Below are 19,966 nucleotides of genomic sequence, written 5' to 3' on the forward strand. Positions count from 1 at the left end.
ACCCAGTAATGGGATCACTGGGTCAAATGGTATTTCTGTTTCTAGATCCTTGAGGAATCGCCACACTGTCTTCCACAGTGGTCAAGCTAATTTACACTCCCACCAACAGCGTGAAAGCGTTCTGACTTTTCCACATCCTCTCCAGCATCTTTTGTTTCCTGAGTTTTTGATGATCACCATTCTAACTGGCATGAGATGGTATCTCATTGTGGTTCTGATTTGCACTTCTCTAATGACCAGTGATCATGAGCTGTTTTTTCATGTTTGTGGGCTGCATAAATGTCTTCTTTTTTGAAAAGTGTCTGTTCATATCCTTTGCCCACTTTTTGATTGGGTTGTTTGTTTTTTATCTTGTAAATTTGTTTAAGTTCCTTATGGATGCTGGATATTAGACCTTTGTCAGATGGATAGATTGCAAAAACTTTCTCCTATTCTGTAGGTTGCCTGTTCACTCTGATGATAGTTTCTTTTGCTGTGCAGAAGCTCTTCAGTTTAATTAGATCCTATTTGTCAATTTTGGCTTTTGTTGCCATTGCTTTTGGTGTTTTAGTCATGAAGTCTTTGCCCATGCCTATGACCTGAATGGTATTGGCTAGGTTTTATTCTAGAGTTCTTATGGTTTTAGGTCTTACATTTAAGTCTTTAATACATCTTGAGTTAATTTTTATATAAGTTATAAGGAAGGGATCCAGTTTCAGTTTTCTGCATATGGCTAGCCAGTTTTCCCAGCACCATTTATTAAATAGGGAATCCTTTCCCCATTGCTTGTTTTTGTCATGTTTGTCAAAGATCAGATGATTGTAGATATGTGGCATTATTTCTGAGGCCTCTTTCCTGTTCCATTGGTCTATATATCTGTTTTGGTACCAGTACCATGCTGTTTTCATTACCGTAGCCTTGTAGTATAGTTTGAAGTCAGGTAGTGCAATGCCTCCGGCTTTGTTCTTTTTACTTAGGATTGTCTTTATATGGGCTCTTCTTTTGGTTGCATATGAAATTTAAAGTAGTTTTTCCTAATTCTGTGAAGAAAGTCAATGATAGCTTGATGGGGATAGCATTGAATCTATAAATTACTTTGGACAGTATGGCTATTTTCACGATATTGATTCTTCCTATCCATGAGCATGGGATGTTTTCCATTTGTTTGTGTCCTCTCTTACTTCCTTGAGCAGTATTTTGTAGTTCTCCTTGAAGAGGTCTTTCACATCCCTTGTAAGTTGTATTTCTAGGTATTTTATTCTCTTAGTAGCTATTGTGAATGGGAATTCACTCATGATTTGGCTCTCTGTTTCTCTATTATTGATGTATAGGAATGCTTGTGATTTTTGCACATTGATTTTGTATCCTGAGACTTTGCTGAAGTTGCTTATCAGCTTAAGGAGTTTTTGGGCTGAGATGGTGGAGTTTTCTAAATATACAATTATGTCATCTGCAAACAGAGACAATTGGACCTCCTCTCTTCTTATCTGAATACCCTTTATTGCCTTCTTTTGCCTGATTGCCCTGGCCAGAACTTCAAATGCTATGTTGAATAGGAGTGATGAAAAAGAGCAACCTCGTCTTGTGCCAGTTTTCAAAGAGAATGTTTCCAGTTTTTGCCCATTGAGTATGATATTGAATGTGGGTTTGTCATAAATAGCTCTCATTATTTTGAGATACATTCCATCAATACCTAGTTTATTGAGTGTTTTTAGCATAAAGGGGTGTTGAATTTTATTGAAGGCCTTTTCTGCATGTATTGAGATAATCATGTGGTTTTTGACATTGGTTCTGTTTATGTGATAGATTAAATTGATTTGTGTATGTTGAACCAGCCTTGCATCCCAGGGATGAAGCTGACTTGATCTTGGTGGATAAGCTTTTTGATGTGCTGCTGGATTCAGTTTGCCAGTATTTTATTGAGGATTTTTGCATCAGTGTTTGTCAGGGATATTGGCATGAAATTTTCTTTTTTTGTTGTGTCTCTGCCAGGTTTTGGTATCAGAATGATGCTGGCCTTATAAAATAAGTTAGGGAGGATTCCCTCTTTTTCTATTGTTGGAATAGTTTCAGAAGGAATGGTGCCAGCTCCTCTTTGTACCCTCAGTAGAATCCAGCTGTGAATCCATCTGGTCCTGGACTTTTTTTGGCTCGTAGGCTATTAATTACTGCCTCAATTGCAGAACTTGTTATTGGTCTATTGAGGGATTCAACTTCTTCCTGGTTTAGACTTGGGAGGCTGTATGTGTCCAGGAATTTATCCATTTCTTCTAGATTTTCTAATTTATTTGCAAAGAGGTGTTTATAGTATTCTCTGATGGTAGTTTGTATTTCTGTGGGATCAATGTTGATATCGCCTTTATCATTTGTTATTGTGTCTATTTGGTTCTGTCTTTTCTTCTTTATTAATCTGGCTAGCAGTCTATCAATTTTGTTAATCTTTTCAAAAAAACAGCTCCTGGATTCATTGATTTTTTTAAGAGTTTTTCTTGTCTCTATCTCCTTCAGTTCTGCTCTGATCTTAGTTATTTCTTGTCTTCTGCTGGCTTTAGAATTCGTTTGCTCTTCCTTCTCTAGTTCTTTTACTTGTGATGTTAGGGTGTCGATTTTAGATCTTTCCTGCTTTCTCCTGTGGGCATTTTAGTGCTATAAATTTCCCTCTAAACACTGCTTTAGCTATGTCCCAGAGATTCTGGTATGTTGTGTCTTCATTCTCATTGGTTTCAAAGAACATCTTTATTTCTGCCTTCATTTCATTATTTACCTAGTAGTCATTCAGGAGCAGTTTGTTCAGTTTCCATATAGTTGTGCGGTTTTGAGTGAGTTTCATAATCCTGAGTTCTAATTTGATTGCACTGTGGTCTGAGAGACTATTTTGTTATGATTTCCATTCTTTTGCATTTGCTGAGGAGTGTTTCACTTCCAATTATGGGGTCAATTTTAGAATAAGTGTGATGATGTGCTGAGAAGAATGTATATTCTGTTGATTTGGGGTGGAGAGTTCTGTAGGTGTCTATTAAGTCCCCTGTTCCAGAGCTGAGTTCAAGTCCTGAATATCCTTGTTAATTTTCTGTCTTGTTCATCTGTCTAATATTGACAGAGGGATATTAAAGACTCCCGCTATTATTATATGGGAGTCTAAGTCTCTTTGTAGGCCTCTAAGAACTTGCTTTATGAATCTTGGTGCTCTTGAATTGGGTGCATATCCCCTGGTCCAGAGCTGAGTTCAAGTCCTGAATATTCTTGCTAATTTTCTGTCTCATTCATCTGTCTAATATTGACAGAGGGGTGTTGAAGTCTCCTGCTATTATTATGTGGGAGTCTGAGTCTCTTTGTAGGCCTCTAAGAACTTGCTTTATGAATCTGGGTGCTCCTGTATTGGGTGCATATATATTCAGGATAGTTAGCTCTCGTTGCATTGATCCCTTTACCATTATGTAATGCCCTTCTTTGTCTATTTTGATCTTTGTTGGTTTAAAGTCTGTTTTATCAGAGACTAGGATTGGTTTTACTTTTTGCTTTCCATTTGCTTGGTAAATATTCCTCCATCCCTTTATTTTGAGCCTATCTATATCTTTGCACATGAGATGGGTCTCCTGAATACAGCACACTGATGGGTCTTGACTCCTTATCCAATTTGCCAGCCTGTGTCTTTTAATTGGGGCATTTAGCCCATTTGTATTTAAGGTTAATATTGTTATGTGTGAATTTCATCCTATCATTATGATGCTAGCTGGTTATTTTGCCCATTAGTTGATGCAGTTTCTTCATAGTGTCAATCGTCTTTACAATTTGGTATGTTTTTACAGTGGCTTGTACTGGTTTTTCCTTTCCATATTTAATGCTTCCTACAGGGGCTCTTGTAAGGCAGGCCTGATGGTGACAAAATCTCTCAGCATTTGCTTGTTTGTAAAGGATTTTATTTCTCCTTTCTTATGAAGGTTAGTTTGGCTGGATATGAAATTCTGGGTTGAAAATTCTTTCTTTAAGAATGTTGAATATTGGCCGCCACTCTCTTCTGGCTTGTAGTGTTTCTACAGAGAGATTTACTGTTTGTCTAATGGGCTTCCCTTTCCCAACCTTTCTCTATGGCTGCCCCTAACATTTTTTCCTTCATTTCAACCTTGGTGAATCTGACGATTATGTGTCTTTGGGTTTCTCTTCTCAAGGAGTATCTGTGTGGTGTTCTCTGATTTCCTGAATTTGAATGTTGGCCTGTCTTACTAGGTTGGGGAAGTTCTCCTGGATAATATCCTAAAGGGTGTTTTCCAACTTGGTTCTATTCTCCCTGTCACTTTTCAGATACACCAATCAAACTTAGGTTTGGTCTTTTCACATAGTGCCATATTTCTTGGAAGCTTTGTTTGTTTCTTTTCATTTTTTTTCTCTAATCTTGTCTTCATGCTTTATTTCATTAAGTTGATCTTCAATCTCTGATATCCTTTCTTCTGCTTGATCGATTCAGCTATTGATACTTGTGTATGCTTCACGAAGTTCTCATGCTGTGTTTTTCAGCTCCATCAGGTCATTTATGTTCTTCTCTAAACTGGTTATTCTAGTTAGCAGTTCCTGTAACTTTTTATCAAGGTTCTTAGCTTTTTTGCATTGGGTTGGAACATGCTCCTTTAGCTTGGTGGAGTTTGTTATTACCCATCTTCCGAAGCCTACTTCTGTCAATTCATCAAACTCATTCTCCGCCCAGTTTTGTTCCCTTGCTGGCAAGAAGTTGTGATCCTTTGGAGGAGAAGAGGCGTTCAGTTTTTGGAATTTTCAGCCTTTTTGCGCTGGTTTTTTCTCATCTTTGTGGCTTTATCTACCTTTGTTCTTTGATGCTGGTGACCTTAGGGTGGGGTGTGTGGACATCCTTTTTGTTGATGTTGATGCTATTCCTTTCTGTTTGTTAGTTTTCCTTCCAACACTCAGGACCCTCTGCTGCAGGTATCCTGGAGTTTGCTGGAGATCCACTCCAGACTCTGTTTGCCTGGGTGTCACCAGCGGAGGCTGCAGAACAGCAAAGATTGCTGCCTGTTCCTTCCTCTGGAAGCTTCATCCCAGAGGGGCACCCACCAGATGACAGCCAGAGCTCTCCTGTATGAGATGTCTGTTGACCCATGCTGGGAGCTGTCTCCCAATCAGGAGGCATGGGGGGTCAGGGACCCACTTGAGGAGGCAGTCTGTCCCTTAGCAGAGCTTGAGAGCTGTGCTGGGAGATCCACTGCTCTCTTCAGAGCCGATAGGCAGGAATGTTTAAGTCTGCCGAAGCTGTGCCCACTGCCGCCCCTTCCCCCAGGCACTCTGTCCCAGGGAGGTGGGAGTTTTATCTATAAGCCCCTGACTGGGCTGCTGCCTGTCTTTCAGAGATGCCCTGCCCAGAGAGGAGGAACCTAGAGAGGCAGTCTACTTGCCAGCTTTTCTTAACTCATTGTTCAACCAAGGCTATTATTGTCCTTCTCAGGACAGGAGGCCAGAGTAGCATGTGAAGGGGATTCTGCTTCCACTGAGGGAGACACTTCCTCAGCATTTGCAGCAGCTCTGGGAACATCCTTCCCAAGGGTGGTGAGATGGAAAAGTTCATCTTTTGTATTCTAAGACATTAGAAACAAATCCTAGTGTGGCAGGATATTAATTTACCAAAAGGTACTCTGTGGCATGTAAAACACCTGGAAAGATTAACAACAGATAAGCCATAAATGTTTTCTTTACTTTTTCATTTTCTGGAAGCATGACCCTTTGCAAATTATGGCCTGTCCATTATTTAACAAATTAGACTATTTTATAGCCCTATTTATTCATTTATTACTAGATGATTTCTGTGCTCTTCTGAAGCTCAGTAATTTACAACTCTGATCAGTGGAACTTATTATGATGTGAAATACTCTGTATCTCCTTTGTCCAACATGAGAGCCAGTATGGGGCTACTGAGCACTTGAGGAACTGAATTTTTTAATTTTTACTAATTTATATTTACTTTTAAGTAGCCCCAGCTAGAGGCTCTCAAATTGGATAATGAAGTTACCTTCTTTGATGTCATCTTTCTTCGTATTGTGTGATTAAACTTTGTAAGATAGATTAAAGCATAGAGCCCCCAAAATCAAAATGCTGATATTTTCATATATGACAAAACCCATGGTATGGGCCATGAGAATATTTTTTAAAGAGCTGTCATTTATTTATCAGCCTTCTAAAACACTCAAATGCACTTAGACAAAGACCTGGAACAAGCCAGATCTGTGGGGGCCCATAGCCAAGAAATGGGAATCACACAAAGTCTCCAGAATCTGCTGGGGCCACAAGGGGAAACTCATACTGTGAGCTTCCATCTCACCAAATGCCGTGCAAGCAGGAGGAAAAGAGTAGGGAGGGTCTTGTTTCCACTTGTGGGAAGCAAGGAAAGGAAAAGAAGAAATTTTCAAAGCTACAACTGGGAACATTTACTTTATGCAGACAGCAGCTGAGTGAAGGTAATGAAATCCATGATGCTCTCCATAGCACTTTTCAAAGAGTGAACTTGTGAAAGTTTGTTATAGACTGCCAGAATCTTCCTTAGTAGTCTTTGAAGTAGGGAGATAGAGGATCCTATTATCCTCACTTTTCTGTAAGGCATACCTTTCATTTTTTTGCCCGTACATGTTTTTCAGATATATATTGATGAAAGCCAAACTGCTTACAGATAAAACAGACTTAAGCAAAATATCTCTCCTCATATGATAGAGTGTGATAATGACAGGGCTTTTTTTTTTTAAGAAATGTAGGTGTTTGACTTGAAATCAGTGTATAGTAATATTCATTATGGTTTCTTTTCTCAAATTAATACTTATGGTAACATTATATACATTTGGTGATTTAATTGTCTCAAGTACTATGGTAACATCATGCCAGCTGCTTCAAACCTTAAAATTCTGTTTCCATTTCAAGACAACAAAAGCCCGTGCTCCAAAACCTTCAACAGTTAGCATTTCATTTTCTCTGGGCCCATGTCAGCAGTATAATCAGAAACAAAAGAAGAAATTATAAGGTTCATTCCCAACCCATCATGGAATGAAAAATCTCTCTAAATGGATCTTAAAAATCACTTCCCCTCTGTAAGAGAAAACATGCTGCAAAGAGAAAAGTTAAAAGTCACATTAGCTTGACATTGTAAATAAAAACAAAGCCCACATGTAAACTAATGCTCTTCATCCATCTGTCCCCAGGTCATAGATCTGTACTGGGGAGTGGAAGAAGATGAGTGGGACAGCCCAGAGCTCCAGAAGACCCGCATGAAGCTGCTGGAGAATTGCTTGAAAACTTCTGCAGGTCCATGTTTTGTTGTGGGTATAAAAAAACTAATGCTTTATATTAACTTTTAGATGAATGTGAGAATTATTGCTGATTTGTGATTCATAAGGGGTTTTTTAAATGAGGGGGAAAAAGACTTTTTTATGTCTATTTAAACATTTTAAGCTGTCTCCTGGCTCTCAATGTATGAGAACAAAAAGCTTCAACTTTCCATAAGAAGTGCTGCCAATTAACGGTGAATAATTTGAACTGGTAATCAAAGGGATTGACTTGGGTTTGACAACAATTTCTACAACACCTTGTGATCAACAATAAGGATTACTCTTTCAGACCTACAATAATTATCCTAGGTTTTCTTATCTTATTGTATAATATATTCCATCATAGTGCTTCTAGTTCTTAACGCTAGAATTTCTGGCATTTTTTAACAAAATGGCTGAAACATTGTTAAAGTAAATCAAATATACTATGTCTCATCTGCCAGTAGCAAATGGTGCCCTGTGAAAATGTTTGTTTCTACAGTGATTTTCAGCTACATGTTCATTATAAGCTAAAGATCGACAGAGATATTCCAAGTGGAACATTATTATTAATTCATCGTTATTTTCTAAAGAATACTCACTCCTCTGTGTTAGCACGGTGGCAGTAAGATAAATAGGTCATTCTATGGCAGGTGGTTGTGCAAAAATCACTGCCTTAATTTAGCTTAAGAAAGACTTACCTTGAATTCAAACAGATCCTACCAATCGATAAGGGAAGTTGCCCCTTTGAACATAGGTTGCTCTAAGACTGACAGACGAGTGTTAAAATTACCAGTGAGTGCTATGAAAAAAAATCACACCGTACTGTTAAAAACTAGATTCAATATATCAGCAAAAGTGTTCTTAATATTTATTTGCATATCCGTCTATATTTGGCTCCGCATAGGATTAGGAAGACCTACAGAGATGATATCACAAATCTGACCAGCTGATGGTAAATTTCTTACCCAGGCTAGTAAAGTGTATAAAGGCTGTATCATATAGTATTTGTAGTATTCCATATATAGATAAGTTGATTACTCACTAACTGCCTGAGTGCTACCGTGTGCCAAGGGTTGCTCTTAGGTGCTGGGGGTGTGGTAGGTTGACCCATACGAAATTGTTATTTTGTGGGCCAGTTCCTTAGGATTCAACCTTAGAATTGAACTAAGAAGATAAAATTTTTTGCTTTCCCGGAGCTTACATTCTAATGTGGGTGGAAGGGGGAGAGGGCAGGCAAAACCCAAATAAGTAAGATAAACAGTAAGTCAGTTGGTGATAAGTGCTATGGAGAAAAATAGAGAAATGAAAGAAAAGAGAGAATACCAGCGAGGGGAGAGATTTGCTACTTAAGATAAAACAGTCAGAGGAGGCCTCACTGATAAGGTGACTCTGAAGGGGAGATGGAAAGAGGGGCAGGAAAGAACCAGGTGTGGATATTCCAAGTCAGGTATTCCAGGAAGAGGGGTTGGCATGTTCAGGAAACAGCAAGCAGGCCTCTGTGCCTAGAACAAGTATGAATAGGGAGGAGGGCATGGGATATGGGGAACGTATCATGGGGCCTTTTCATCTTTTATGATTAAGAGAATATTTTTATTTTTAAGACTAAGAAGACTATTGTTATGGCTCAGCATAATTGGGAACCATCGATTTTGGAAAGGTAATTTCAGTAAGACAATTCAATTCTGTAATCTTCAAGTTGACTTAAGGTTTTACCTCGAGTGACAGGAAAAACTGCAGAAGTGTTCTGAGCAGAGGAATGAAGTGATTTGACTTGTATTTTAAGCATGGCCTTGGCTGCTGGGTGAAGAATAGGGAACAGAGCAGGCAGACCTTTAGAGAGCTACTGCAATAAGCCAAATGAGAAAAATACGTGGTTTGGGGGGGTTGGGGGAACGAACACCGAAAAACAGTGTCCTGTGGCCTGAAAAGAATGCAAAAGAAGGCCTGAAAGTTGTGTTAAATATCTGAAGAGCAAGTAGCGGAAGAGATTCTTTTCCTTGGGTCATTGGAGGATAGAACTAGGAAGCAGATTTCAGCTTTGGGTGAAGAAGTTAAAGGATATATAGCTTCCTCTCAGGTTTTTGGATCCAGTATCCCTGGGTTCTGACCTGATATTTCATAGCTGTGTGGCACTGCAGGAGTTGCTCCACTATTCTAAGCCTCAGTTTTTTGTCTGTAAAATGGAAGTGATAATAACAGTTATCTACCTCATCGGGTCATTCTGAGAATCAAATGAAATTACAGGCAGTTTTATAGTATTTCACACATAGTAATCCATTAAAAAGTGTTCGTTGTTTCTTATTGTGTATTATTATCTATCACAGCTGCCTGAAGATGAAATCACCTGGCTCAAACTGTAATGATGCATCCCCAAAAAAGTTTTTATCAAAGTGAAGAACACAAACCACTGTGACAGGGGTGCTATAGAAGAGACTCAAATATTGGAAGACAGGTTAGGCCAGATTCCATTATGCTTAGAAAGCCAGATTTGGGAAGCATAACCCACTATGGGAGTGTCCTGGGAAACCTCAATTACTGTGATCTCCACAGCTTTACCGTAATCCAGCCTTGGAAATTCAGGAATGAGAGAGATGTTCTCCCCCTTTTATAACCCTGTTGAGTGCCATCCCTAAGCTAACTAAAATTAGACATGACTATGAATTCCAATAATTTGCTGGTAGGAGAATAAATAAAGACTTTGCAAGTTTATGCAGGTTATGAGAGCAAAGGTTAGCTGACAGAACAGCAGCAACATCTTTATTGAGCATAAACAAATCATTTATCCCTCCTTCTGCTCCCCTGTTACATGTTTAAACTCAGGGAAACCACGATAAAACCCTGCAGATAGAGCTAGGATTATTCACCCCAGCGATCCTAAATCACACAAGGCTTGTATCTCACAGCTTATAGAAAAAGAAAAAAAAAGTACTCCTCTTAGGGCCTTTCCTGTTGTAACTACGGTGACAACTGGCATGTGTGTGTTACTTTTAAGCTCCAGTTTCCTCGCCCAGTGCTCCCTTGTGGATATTTCTAGAAGTCATGATGACCCCTGTGGGATGCAGAGCTTAACATAATACTTCCCCTAATGCTGAAGTCTTTGGCAAGGAAATTCACCACTGCTGAATGAAAAAAAAAAAAGTTTTTATATCTTCAAAGGCTTCACAGTCTTTAGCCTTTATGTTAGGTCCAAATAAATTAAGGACCAGATGAAGCTTTCCTTTTAAACACCCAGGGAATTGAGTTCCAAAGGGAACTTTAGTCTTCAGTATAGTTCGTGCTTGGCCTTTTTCGACTTCATTTCCTATAAGTTGTCATTTAGATAATGGCCCAAGGTTCCACTGACATGCAAGCTGTGCTGTAATTCTGGACAGCTGTTTTACACACATGTTTTTGTCCATGAAGAGATGAAGGTGCTAGAGTGAGGGAGCCTGGACATGTGTCTGGTCCTGCTCTCAGAGGACTAGCTTGGGAAACATTGTAAAGCATACATCATCTTACTGAGAAGAACAACATTTGAATACATGTGTAGAGAGAGGCAAGTACAGTGGGAAGAGCCCAGAATTTTCATTTTACAATCAAGCGAGAGCCCTGGTTCTCAGGGAACAAGTCACTAACTTAATTGTACTTTAGTGATCACATCTATAAATATGGGAAAATAATAACAATAAACTAAAAGTAAATTTTGAATCAATTTCAAAGGATTGTTGTGGGGACCAAATGTGATAATATATGTATGAGTTCTTTGTAAACCCATAAAAGGCTAACAACCAGTAATTTTAGACCAAATAACTTAAAATGTAATTTATTTTCAAATAAGAATAAAAAGTTTTCATTTATATTAGGCATTTATGTGCTATTATAATTTTTCCCCTTAAAAATGCTGATAATCTAAATGTAAAAAGTATCAAGGCTTCATTCAGTCAAATGTTAAAGGATTTTAATTCATTCTTATGTGTATATTAATAAAATGTAATATTTGTAAAATGCATATGGTACATATATATTTTGTTTTTCTAGATATGAATTTGCTGACATTTACTGACTAAAAGCTTTACCTATCCCCAAGGAGGGATTCTGACCAAGGCAGCCCCTAGCAGGGAGACAAATCACAGCTGAGTAACAAAATCATCTTCATCACCTTTTAGGTGTAAAAAATTGCTGCAGGCTTTGCAAAGTGTGGAAAGGTCAACAAAATCTCCCCCACCTACTTGTCGCATTCCCTAGTCCATAGAAAATCCTTTTGTAGAGGGAGAGGAATACGGCCTTTTGGAGAGAGCAGAGGTCATATGATGCTAATTCTCTCATTATCTCATCCCCATCCTTCTCCATGCTGCATATTTATAGGGAAGAGGGGGTTTTCTTCTTGTCATCCCTCCAAATGTGGAGTACCCAAAAGAATTGCTTACAGAGTTTGAGCATTGATCCTGGACCCTGAATACAGGCCTGCCTCTTGGCAGAGTTGATAGAAGTAGGTGACTTCAATCAGAAACAACAAAGGTGACGTTATAACTGATCCCACAGAAATACAAAAGATCCTCAGGGACTATACAAAAGATCCTCAGGGACTATTATGAACACATCTATGCACACAAACTAGAAAATCTAGAGGAAATGGAAAAATTCCTGGAAACACAACCTCCCAATATTGAACAAGGAAGAAACTGAAACCCTAAGCAACCAGTATTGAGGTCCAAAACTGAATCAGTAATAAACCTACCAACCAAAAAAAGCCCGGAACCAGATACATTCACAGACAAATTCCACCAGATATGCAAAGCAGAGCTGATACCTATTATAGTGAAACTATTCCAAAAACTTAAGGGGAAGGGACTGCTCCCCAACTCATTCTTAAAAACCAGCATCACCCTGATACCTGGCAAAAGACAAAACCTGGCAAAAACACAATGAAAAAAGAAAACTACAGGCAAATATTCCTGGTGAACATAGATGCAAAAAAACCTCAACAAAATGCTAGCAAACCAGATCCAACAGCGCATCAAAAAGTTAAGTCACCATAATCAAGTAGATTTGATTTCTGGGATGCAAGGTTGGTTCAACATATGCAAACCAATAAATGTGACACACCCACATAAACAGAGTTAAAAACCATATGATCATCTCCATAGACATGGAAAAAGCTTTTGATAAACATTCCTTCTTGATAACCCTCAGTAAACAAGGCATCGAAGGAATATACCTCAAAATAATAAGAGCCATCTATGACAAACCCACAACCAACATCATGCTGAAGGGGCAAGAACTGGAAGCATTCCCCTTGAGGACTGGAAGAACATAAGAATACCCACTCTCACCACTCCTATTCAACACAGTACTGGAAGTGCTAGCTAGAGAAATCAGGCAAGAGAAAGAAATAAAAGGCATCCAAATAGGAAAAGAAGAAGTGAAACTGTCTCTCTCCATGTATGATGTGATTCTATACCTAGGAAATCATAAAGACTCTTCCAAAGGGCTCCCATAACTGATAAACAACTTCAGTTTCAGGATACAAAATCTATGTACAAAAATAAGTAACATTTCTATACACCCATAACGTTCAAGCTGAAAGCCAAATCAAGAAAGCAATTCTATTTACAATAGCCACAAAAAAATTAAAATACCTAGGACCACATCTAACCAAGGAAGTGAAAGATATCTACAAAGAGAACTACAAAACACTGCCAAAAGAAATCACAGATGACGCAAACAAATGGAAAAACATTCCATGCTCTGGATTGGAAGAATCAATTCATTAAAGTGTTCATTCTGCCCAAAGCAATCTATATATTTAATGCTATTTCTATCAAACTACCAACGTCATTTTTCACAGAACTAGAAAAAACTATTCTAAAACTTATATGGAACCAAAAAAGAGTGTGAATAGCCAAAACAAAGCTAACCAAAAAGAACAAAGCTGGAGGCATCACCACATTACCCAACTTCAAACTATGCTATAAGGCTACAGTAACCCAAACAGCATGGTGCTGGTACAAAAACGGACACATAGACAAATGGAACAAAATGGAGAACCCAGAAATAAAGCTGCACACCTACAGCCATCTGACCTTTGACAAAGTTGACACAAATAAGCAATGGGGAAAGATTTTCTGTTTAATAAATTATATTGGGATAGCTGTCTAGCCATATGGAGGAGAATGAAATTGGACCCCTATCCTTCACCATACACAAAAATTAAGATGGATTAAAGGTTTAAATGTAAGACCTCAAACTGTAGTAATCCCAGAAGAAAACCTAGGAAATATTCTGGACATCGGCCTTGGGAAATAATTTATTAGTAAGTCCTCAAAAACAACTGCAGCAAAAACAAAAATTGACAAGTGGTACCTAATAAAACTAAACAGCTTCTGCGAAGCAAAAGAAACTATCAGCAGAGTGAACAGACAATGTACAGAATGGGAGAAAATGTTCAAAAACTATGCATCTGACCAATGTCTAATATCTAGAATCTGTAAGGAACTTAAACAATGGAAGAAGCAAAAAAGACCATTAAAAATGGGCAAAAGATATAAACAGACACTTCTCAAAAGAAGACATACAAGTGTCCCACAAACGTATGAAAAAAATGCTTATCAACACTAATCATCAGAGGAATGCAAATCAAAACCACAATGAGATATCATCTCACACTAGTAGGGATGACTATTATTGAAAACTCAAAAAACAACAGATGCTGGTGAGGCTGTAGGGAAAAGGGAAAGATTATACATTGTCGGTGGAAATGTAAATTAGTTCAGCCACTGTGTCAAAAGCAGTTTGGAGATTTCTGAAAGAACTGAGAACTACCATTCAACTCAGCAATATCATGACTGGGTATATATCCAAAAGAAAATAAGTCTTTCTACCAAAAAGACACATGTACTCACATGTTCATCACAGCACAATAGCAAAGAATCTAGGTGTCCACGTCTAGTGGATTGGATAAAGAAAATATGGTACATAAACACCATGGAATACTACACAGCCATAGAAAAGCAAGAAATTATGTTCTTTGTAGCAACATGGATGAAGCTGGATGCTATTTTCCTAAGTGGATTAACTCAGGAACAGAAAACCAAATACCACATGTTCTCACTTACAAGTGGGAACCAAAAATTGGGTACTCATGGACATAAAGCTGGCAACAATAGAAACTGGGGACTACTCAGCCACACACACATGCTGCCATCAGTGGCACAGAGAATGAGGGAGGGGGCAAGGGTTGAAAACTATTGGGTACTATGCTGAGCACCTGGGTGATGGGATCAGTCGTATCCCAAACCTCAGCATCATGCAATACAGCCAGGTAACAAACCTGCGTATGTATGCCCTGAATCTAAAATAAAAGTTGAAATTATATATAAAAAAGCAGACGGCCGGGCGCAGTGGCTCAGGCCTGTAATCCCAGCACTTTGGGAGGCCAAGGCGGGTGGATCATGAGGTCAGGAGTTCAAGACCAGCCTGGCCAACGTGGTGAAACCCCCTTTTCTACTAAAAATACAAAAAAAAAAAAAATTAGCTGGGAATGGTGGTGCATGCCTGTAATCCCAGCTACTCGGGAGGCTGAGGCAGGAGAATTGCTTGAACCAGGATCCAGGAGGCGGAGGTTGCAGTGAGCCAAGATCACACCACTGCATTCCAGCCTGGGCTACAGAGCGAGACTCTGTCTCAAAAACAAACAAACAAAAGTAGACAACTTACACTCTGCTGTCTTGAGCAACTAGAGTTTGAAAAGCTTAGTTACAGTATTGGAGAATCCGTCCCCACTCCACCATGTGTGTGGCATCCCTGGAGGATGCTCATAGCATCTCACTACAGTTCCTCAATCCGTAGTGTGGATGAGGTGGAAATTTGCTGTGGGAGAAGCATTGGCAGGTGACCCTAGAAGAGCCAAGCCTGATACCACGCATGCGATGAGAGGAGCACCATTACCACCAATGGAGGCAGGTAAGAGGTTCTTCTGTGACTTCACATTTAGAGGGGTGTTCCCATACAGCAGGCAAGAGGAATCTTGCCTGCAGTAGTATGCCTTGTCAACTCCCTGAGCTCTCAGTGAACCAACACCCATGTAGCATCCTCATCGGGGCTGTGAGATTACACACATATATAAACAAACACAATCTGTCAGCATTGAGTAAAGAAGCAGCAGAGACCAAAAGAATGGGCATATCACCATTGTTGCTTGAGTATAAGCAGATGTCAGAGCAGACTTCTACCTCCACTTACACACACACACACACACACACACACACACACACTGCCATCAGTGGCACAGCTAGCAGGGAACAGAGAATGGGTCATGCTCATACCCACCACAGGCAGCTCCTGGCAGTGGACCCTAAGCCCAGTATGCACAAAGTAAGAAGAAAGAAGCCCAGAGAGCTACATTTTGAACGGGGCCATATTTTAAACCAAAAATATGACAACTTAAGGGATTGAACTGTGAAATCTGTTGTTATTCAGCAAGTTTGTTTTTTCACTAGGCAGAAGAGTAAAGACAAGACAAAGTGTGTAGCTGTAACTGACAAAGACTAACATTCTATTTTTGTATATCACTGAGTTACTCTCAAACTTATAGCATATAGGTCAGTTCCTTCTCACCTTCTCATCACTCTCCTTCAGGTTAAATTATGTCTCCTTACAGTTTAGTTTCTTTAAATAATTTTTAGTAAAAGAAAACTATATGATGAGATTTCTTAAATCATTTGAAATAATTACAGTATTTTTAAAATCACTTAGCTTTGGAAAATATTTCACATTTATCCATATTCCAGTATGTTTGCTTTATCATTTTAGGTATACAAAACAAAATACACACATGAAAAATTTAAATAAGTACTTAATTTTCATTCATATTTTAAAGTGCAGGGGGGTTTGTATCATTTAGTTCTAACCTTTATAAGTACAGTTCTACCAACCAAAATGTATTTTAAAATGAGAAAACAGTCATTGATTTGAACTGGAAAGTCATCTAAATTAAACAGTCTAGCTTAAAAAGATCTTTCTTACAAATTTTATTTAAATAAAAATCTAAAGCCTCAGATTTTCCAGGTATTTTGCTCATATAGTCCAGAGAAACAAATATTTCTTTACTTATAAAAATGTTTGTCCAGTTGAAATCAACTAGTTATCATAGCTCTGAAATAGGTTTCAATAATTAGTGACTTGATATCACCAAAAGAGCTTTAGAATGGACAAACATGGAAAATTAGCTTTCTTCTCAACAGTATTTAATTGTCTGGTGAAAGCCAAGAGGGCCGTTGAAATAATTATTGCTAATATATTAAGTATTTCCACAGTAAACTTTTACTAACATATAAGCTATTTCTATAGCTTAAGCTTAGTTGGTGTAAGAAAGCATTTTTTTATGATAAAAAGAATTATGGAGAAAAAGTGGACGGGAGAGTACTCAGTCTCTTTATAATTTAATTGGTAAAGAAAAATGTTCACTTTTATAGCTGTAGTCCAAAGGACTTCTAAGTAGGCCAGCAACAACTTTTTAAAAAGGTAAAATGTAAACATCATGTTTTTAAAAAGACAGTAGGGCTGTGGAGACAAATGTGATTAGACACACTCAATTTCCAGAAGGAAATGAGTCATTTCTTGGTAAGCTGGCTTTACAGATAGAGGAACCCCCAAATCACTGGGAGTTTTCTCCATGAATGCTCAATGCTGAACATTGAGCAACATGGGAGGTTAGGAAGCTGGGATGGAAAGGCAGAATAAAGTCTCCAATAATATCTTGGTGTACAGGAGACAAAGTCCACTAGAATGTAGCACAAACATCTAACTGGTGTTGCCTTTGAGGCATTTTAATTCAAAGTAAGCAGAATCTAAAACTGCAACCGAGCCGCGGCCCAGTTCAGTTACTAATGGGAATGTGATAAGCCTCCCATTGCCCTATCAGTCTAACATAGGAAAGGAACCCCTAAATAACCATTATTTTAAAAATGAAGTTCAGAATACCATGAAAATTACAAGACATGCAAGGAATCAAGAAACTATGACTAATTTTAAAAGGAAGACTAAAGAATAGATGAAACAAGCAGAAAGATAACACAACTATTTTATTCACTGTAAATAATCTAAATCTTCCTATTAAATACAGGTTCAACTGTATGCGGTTTTCAAGAGTTCTCTTTAAAGGAAAGGGCATAAATCGGCTGAGAGTAAAATGATAAAAGTATGTATATCTAGATATAGATATATATGCCATGGAAAGATTAACCAAAAGAAAATTACATCAATATCATATAGTAGGTTTTAAGTTAAGATAAAGTAGGATGTTTCATAATGATAAAAGGTTCAATTCAACAGAAAAATGTAATATTTCTATATTTCTATGCACCTAATAACATGGCTTCAAAATATAAAAATCTTGACTAAAAGGAGAAATAGACAAATCTACAGTCATAATTGGAGATATTTACAAACATCTTTCGGTATCTAAGAGAAGTAGAAAACAAATCCGTAAGTATGTAGATTTGAATAACATGATTTATAACATGACCTAATTAACATTTATAGAATGCCACATTCAATAACTGCAAAATATACCTTTTTTCAATTCACAGAACATTTGCTAAAGTGCAAAGGATGATCCATCCATATGATGGGTAACAACACAAGTCTCAACAAATTTCAAAGGGTTGAAATCATACTAAACTTGTGCTCTGACCTCGGTGGAATTAAAAACTGAAAAATAACTGAAAGATGACTAAACATGTCTAAATGTGTGAAAGTTAACACCGTTCTAAATAAACTATGGGTCAAAGTAGAAAAATCACAAGGGAAATCTAAAAATATTTTGAACTGCACTAACATGAAAACTGTGTCAAAACTTGTGGATTCAGCTAATGATACAAATTTCAAATTATGGATTTCTATTTTTTCAATGCTTAGAAAAAACAGAAATCCATTATTTGAAATTCATATAATTAGAAAAGATGAGAATTTGAAAATTAATGATTTAAGTGTCAATCTGTCAAGAGGATAGAAAAAAAAGGAGAATTAGACCCAAGGCAATTGGAAGAAAAGGGCAATATTCATCAGAGTATAACAGCTTTTAAAACGCTTCTACAAATTATCAGTGCTACTTGTTCCTCTAAGGATAAACGGATGATAGGATTTCAGAGCTGGAAAGAGCCTTAAGATAATCTAGTAACTAAATAGTTAAAAATCCTGATTACACACAGGTAAAATTGAAACCCAAAGAAGTGAAGGGAATTTTTATTTTCTGAATGTGTAAAATACAGTAGATATTGTGTTGAACACGTTTCCTCTTTTTCTCATACCAACCCATGGGGCTGTTATTTCTCCGTCTCTATCAGTGAGGATGCTGAGACTTAGGTGATTTCTGCAATTTGCCTGATGTCTAACTAGTAAGGGATAAGAGCCAGGATTTCAGTCTAAGTCTCTTTAATCCAAAGCCAACATTCTTCCTACCAGCAGACCCTAAATGGTTTAACTGGAAGCTATAATGAAGTCTAGAACCCAAGTCCTTTTCTCCCTGTCTGTTCTTTATCTACCGAAGTAGAGGGATTGAACTATAAGGTCCTGTTCCAGTTTTCTTGGTGGCATTTTCTCATATACAGTTGAATGACTCAGATAACATAATCGCTAGCCTAGTGTGTGATATACTTCTCTCTGGTAGGGAAGGAAGCTGTGTTGCCGCAGGCTTTAGTAAGATTGCTTCAGCCAAAACTTGGACTTTTTCATCTAATTTCCCTGGACTGAGAAACTCTAAGCTGCCAAAACCTGCACTTGAAAATGCCATAAGTGCAAATTGTAAAAACAAAGATTTCTTAATTTTTCTCCCCTTGCACTTACCTAGCATCTAATTACGATGCAAGGTCCAGATCTGCTATATCCAACGAACCTAAAGTCTCAAAATGCTTCTAGGAATGTGTATTTTCCATTGTTGTCCAATAAAACACAACAAGCAAGTTTCTATAGTGCCTATCATATGTAAAACTGTGCTAAGTTCTGTGAGCTAATGGTAAGTCATATACTACCCTTGACCTCTTAAGCACCCACTTAAACAGAAAGAGGTGTGCGTGCGGCTAAATATGATACTGTTTGATAAGTGAGATAATATAATATTAGTTAGCTGCTATGGAAGCAAAATGGGGAAACTGGTTTGTTCTGATTCTGTGTGTCACAAAAGGAATCACTAAGAGCTGGAAGGACTAAGAGCTTTCCATCTCTAAATCTAGGGCAGGAGAGGTGAGGGTACTTTGATTGTCCAGAGACCAGCAGTTCCTGGATGAAGGTAGAATATAGGGTTAGTGACAGGGCATTATGGAACATGAGGCAAAAAATGTAATTTGAGGCCAGACCTTCTAAGTTAAATTTCCGCTTAAGCTTGTTAGCAGTGAGGAGGACATCCTGTTGAGATTTGTAACTAAAGGCAGTGAGTTCAAGAGGCTAGAAACAAGAGACCTAACTAGCAACCTAGCTAATGTCATGATCCAGATGAAAGATACCCTGATGAGCTAAGGGGGTGAAATAGAAAGGTGGGCATAGATTAGAGATACTTCAGAGACAGAATTGGTAAGAAGTTGTTGACTGTTTGAGGGCTGAGGGAGAAGGATGAGTCTAAGTCACCTTAGTCACCTGCTGATGCCCAGATTATTAGCTCTTCCTTCCATCACACCATTATAGATACTTAAATATACACACTGAAACACATG

General features: G+C 38.1%; 1 protein-coding gene across 1 annotated transcript in view; it reads left to right on the forward strand.

Annotated features, from left to right (window-relative positions):
* The window catches only part of NWD2 (NACHT and WD repeat domain containing 2), a 204,721-nt gene that overhangs the window by 104,451 nt on the left and 80,304 nt on the right, over window positions 1-19,966 (forward strand). The window contains exon 3 of the mRNA NM_001144990.2: window positions 7,173-7,289. Within this exon, the coding sequence (NP_001138462.1) occupies window positions 7,173-7,289 (117 nt within the window). The remainder of the gene's footprint in view (window positions 1-7,172; window positions 7,290-19,966) is intronic.

Source organism: Homo sapiens, chromosome 4 (genome assembly GCF_000001405.40).
Source record: "Homo sapiens chromosome 4, GRCh38.p14 Primary Assembly".
Taxonomy (NCBI): Eukaryota; Metazoa; Chordata; class Mammalia; order Primates; family Hominidae; genus Homo; species Homo sapiens.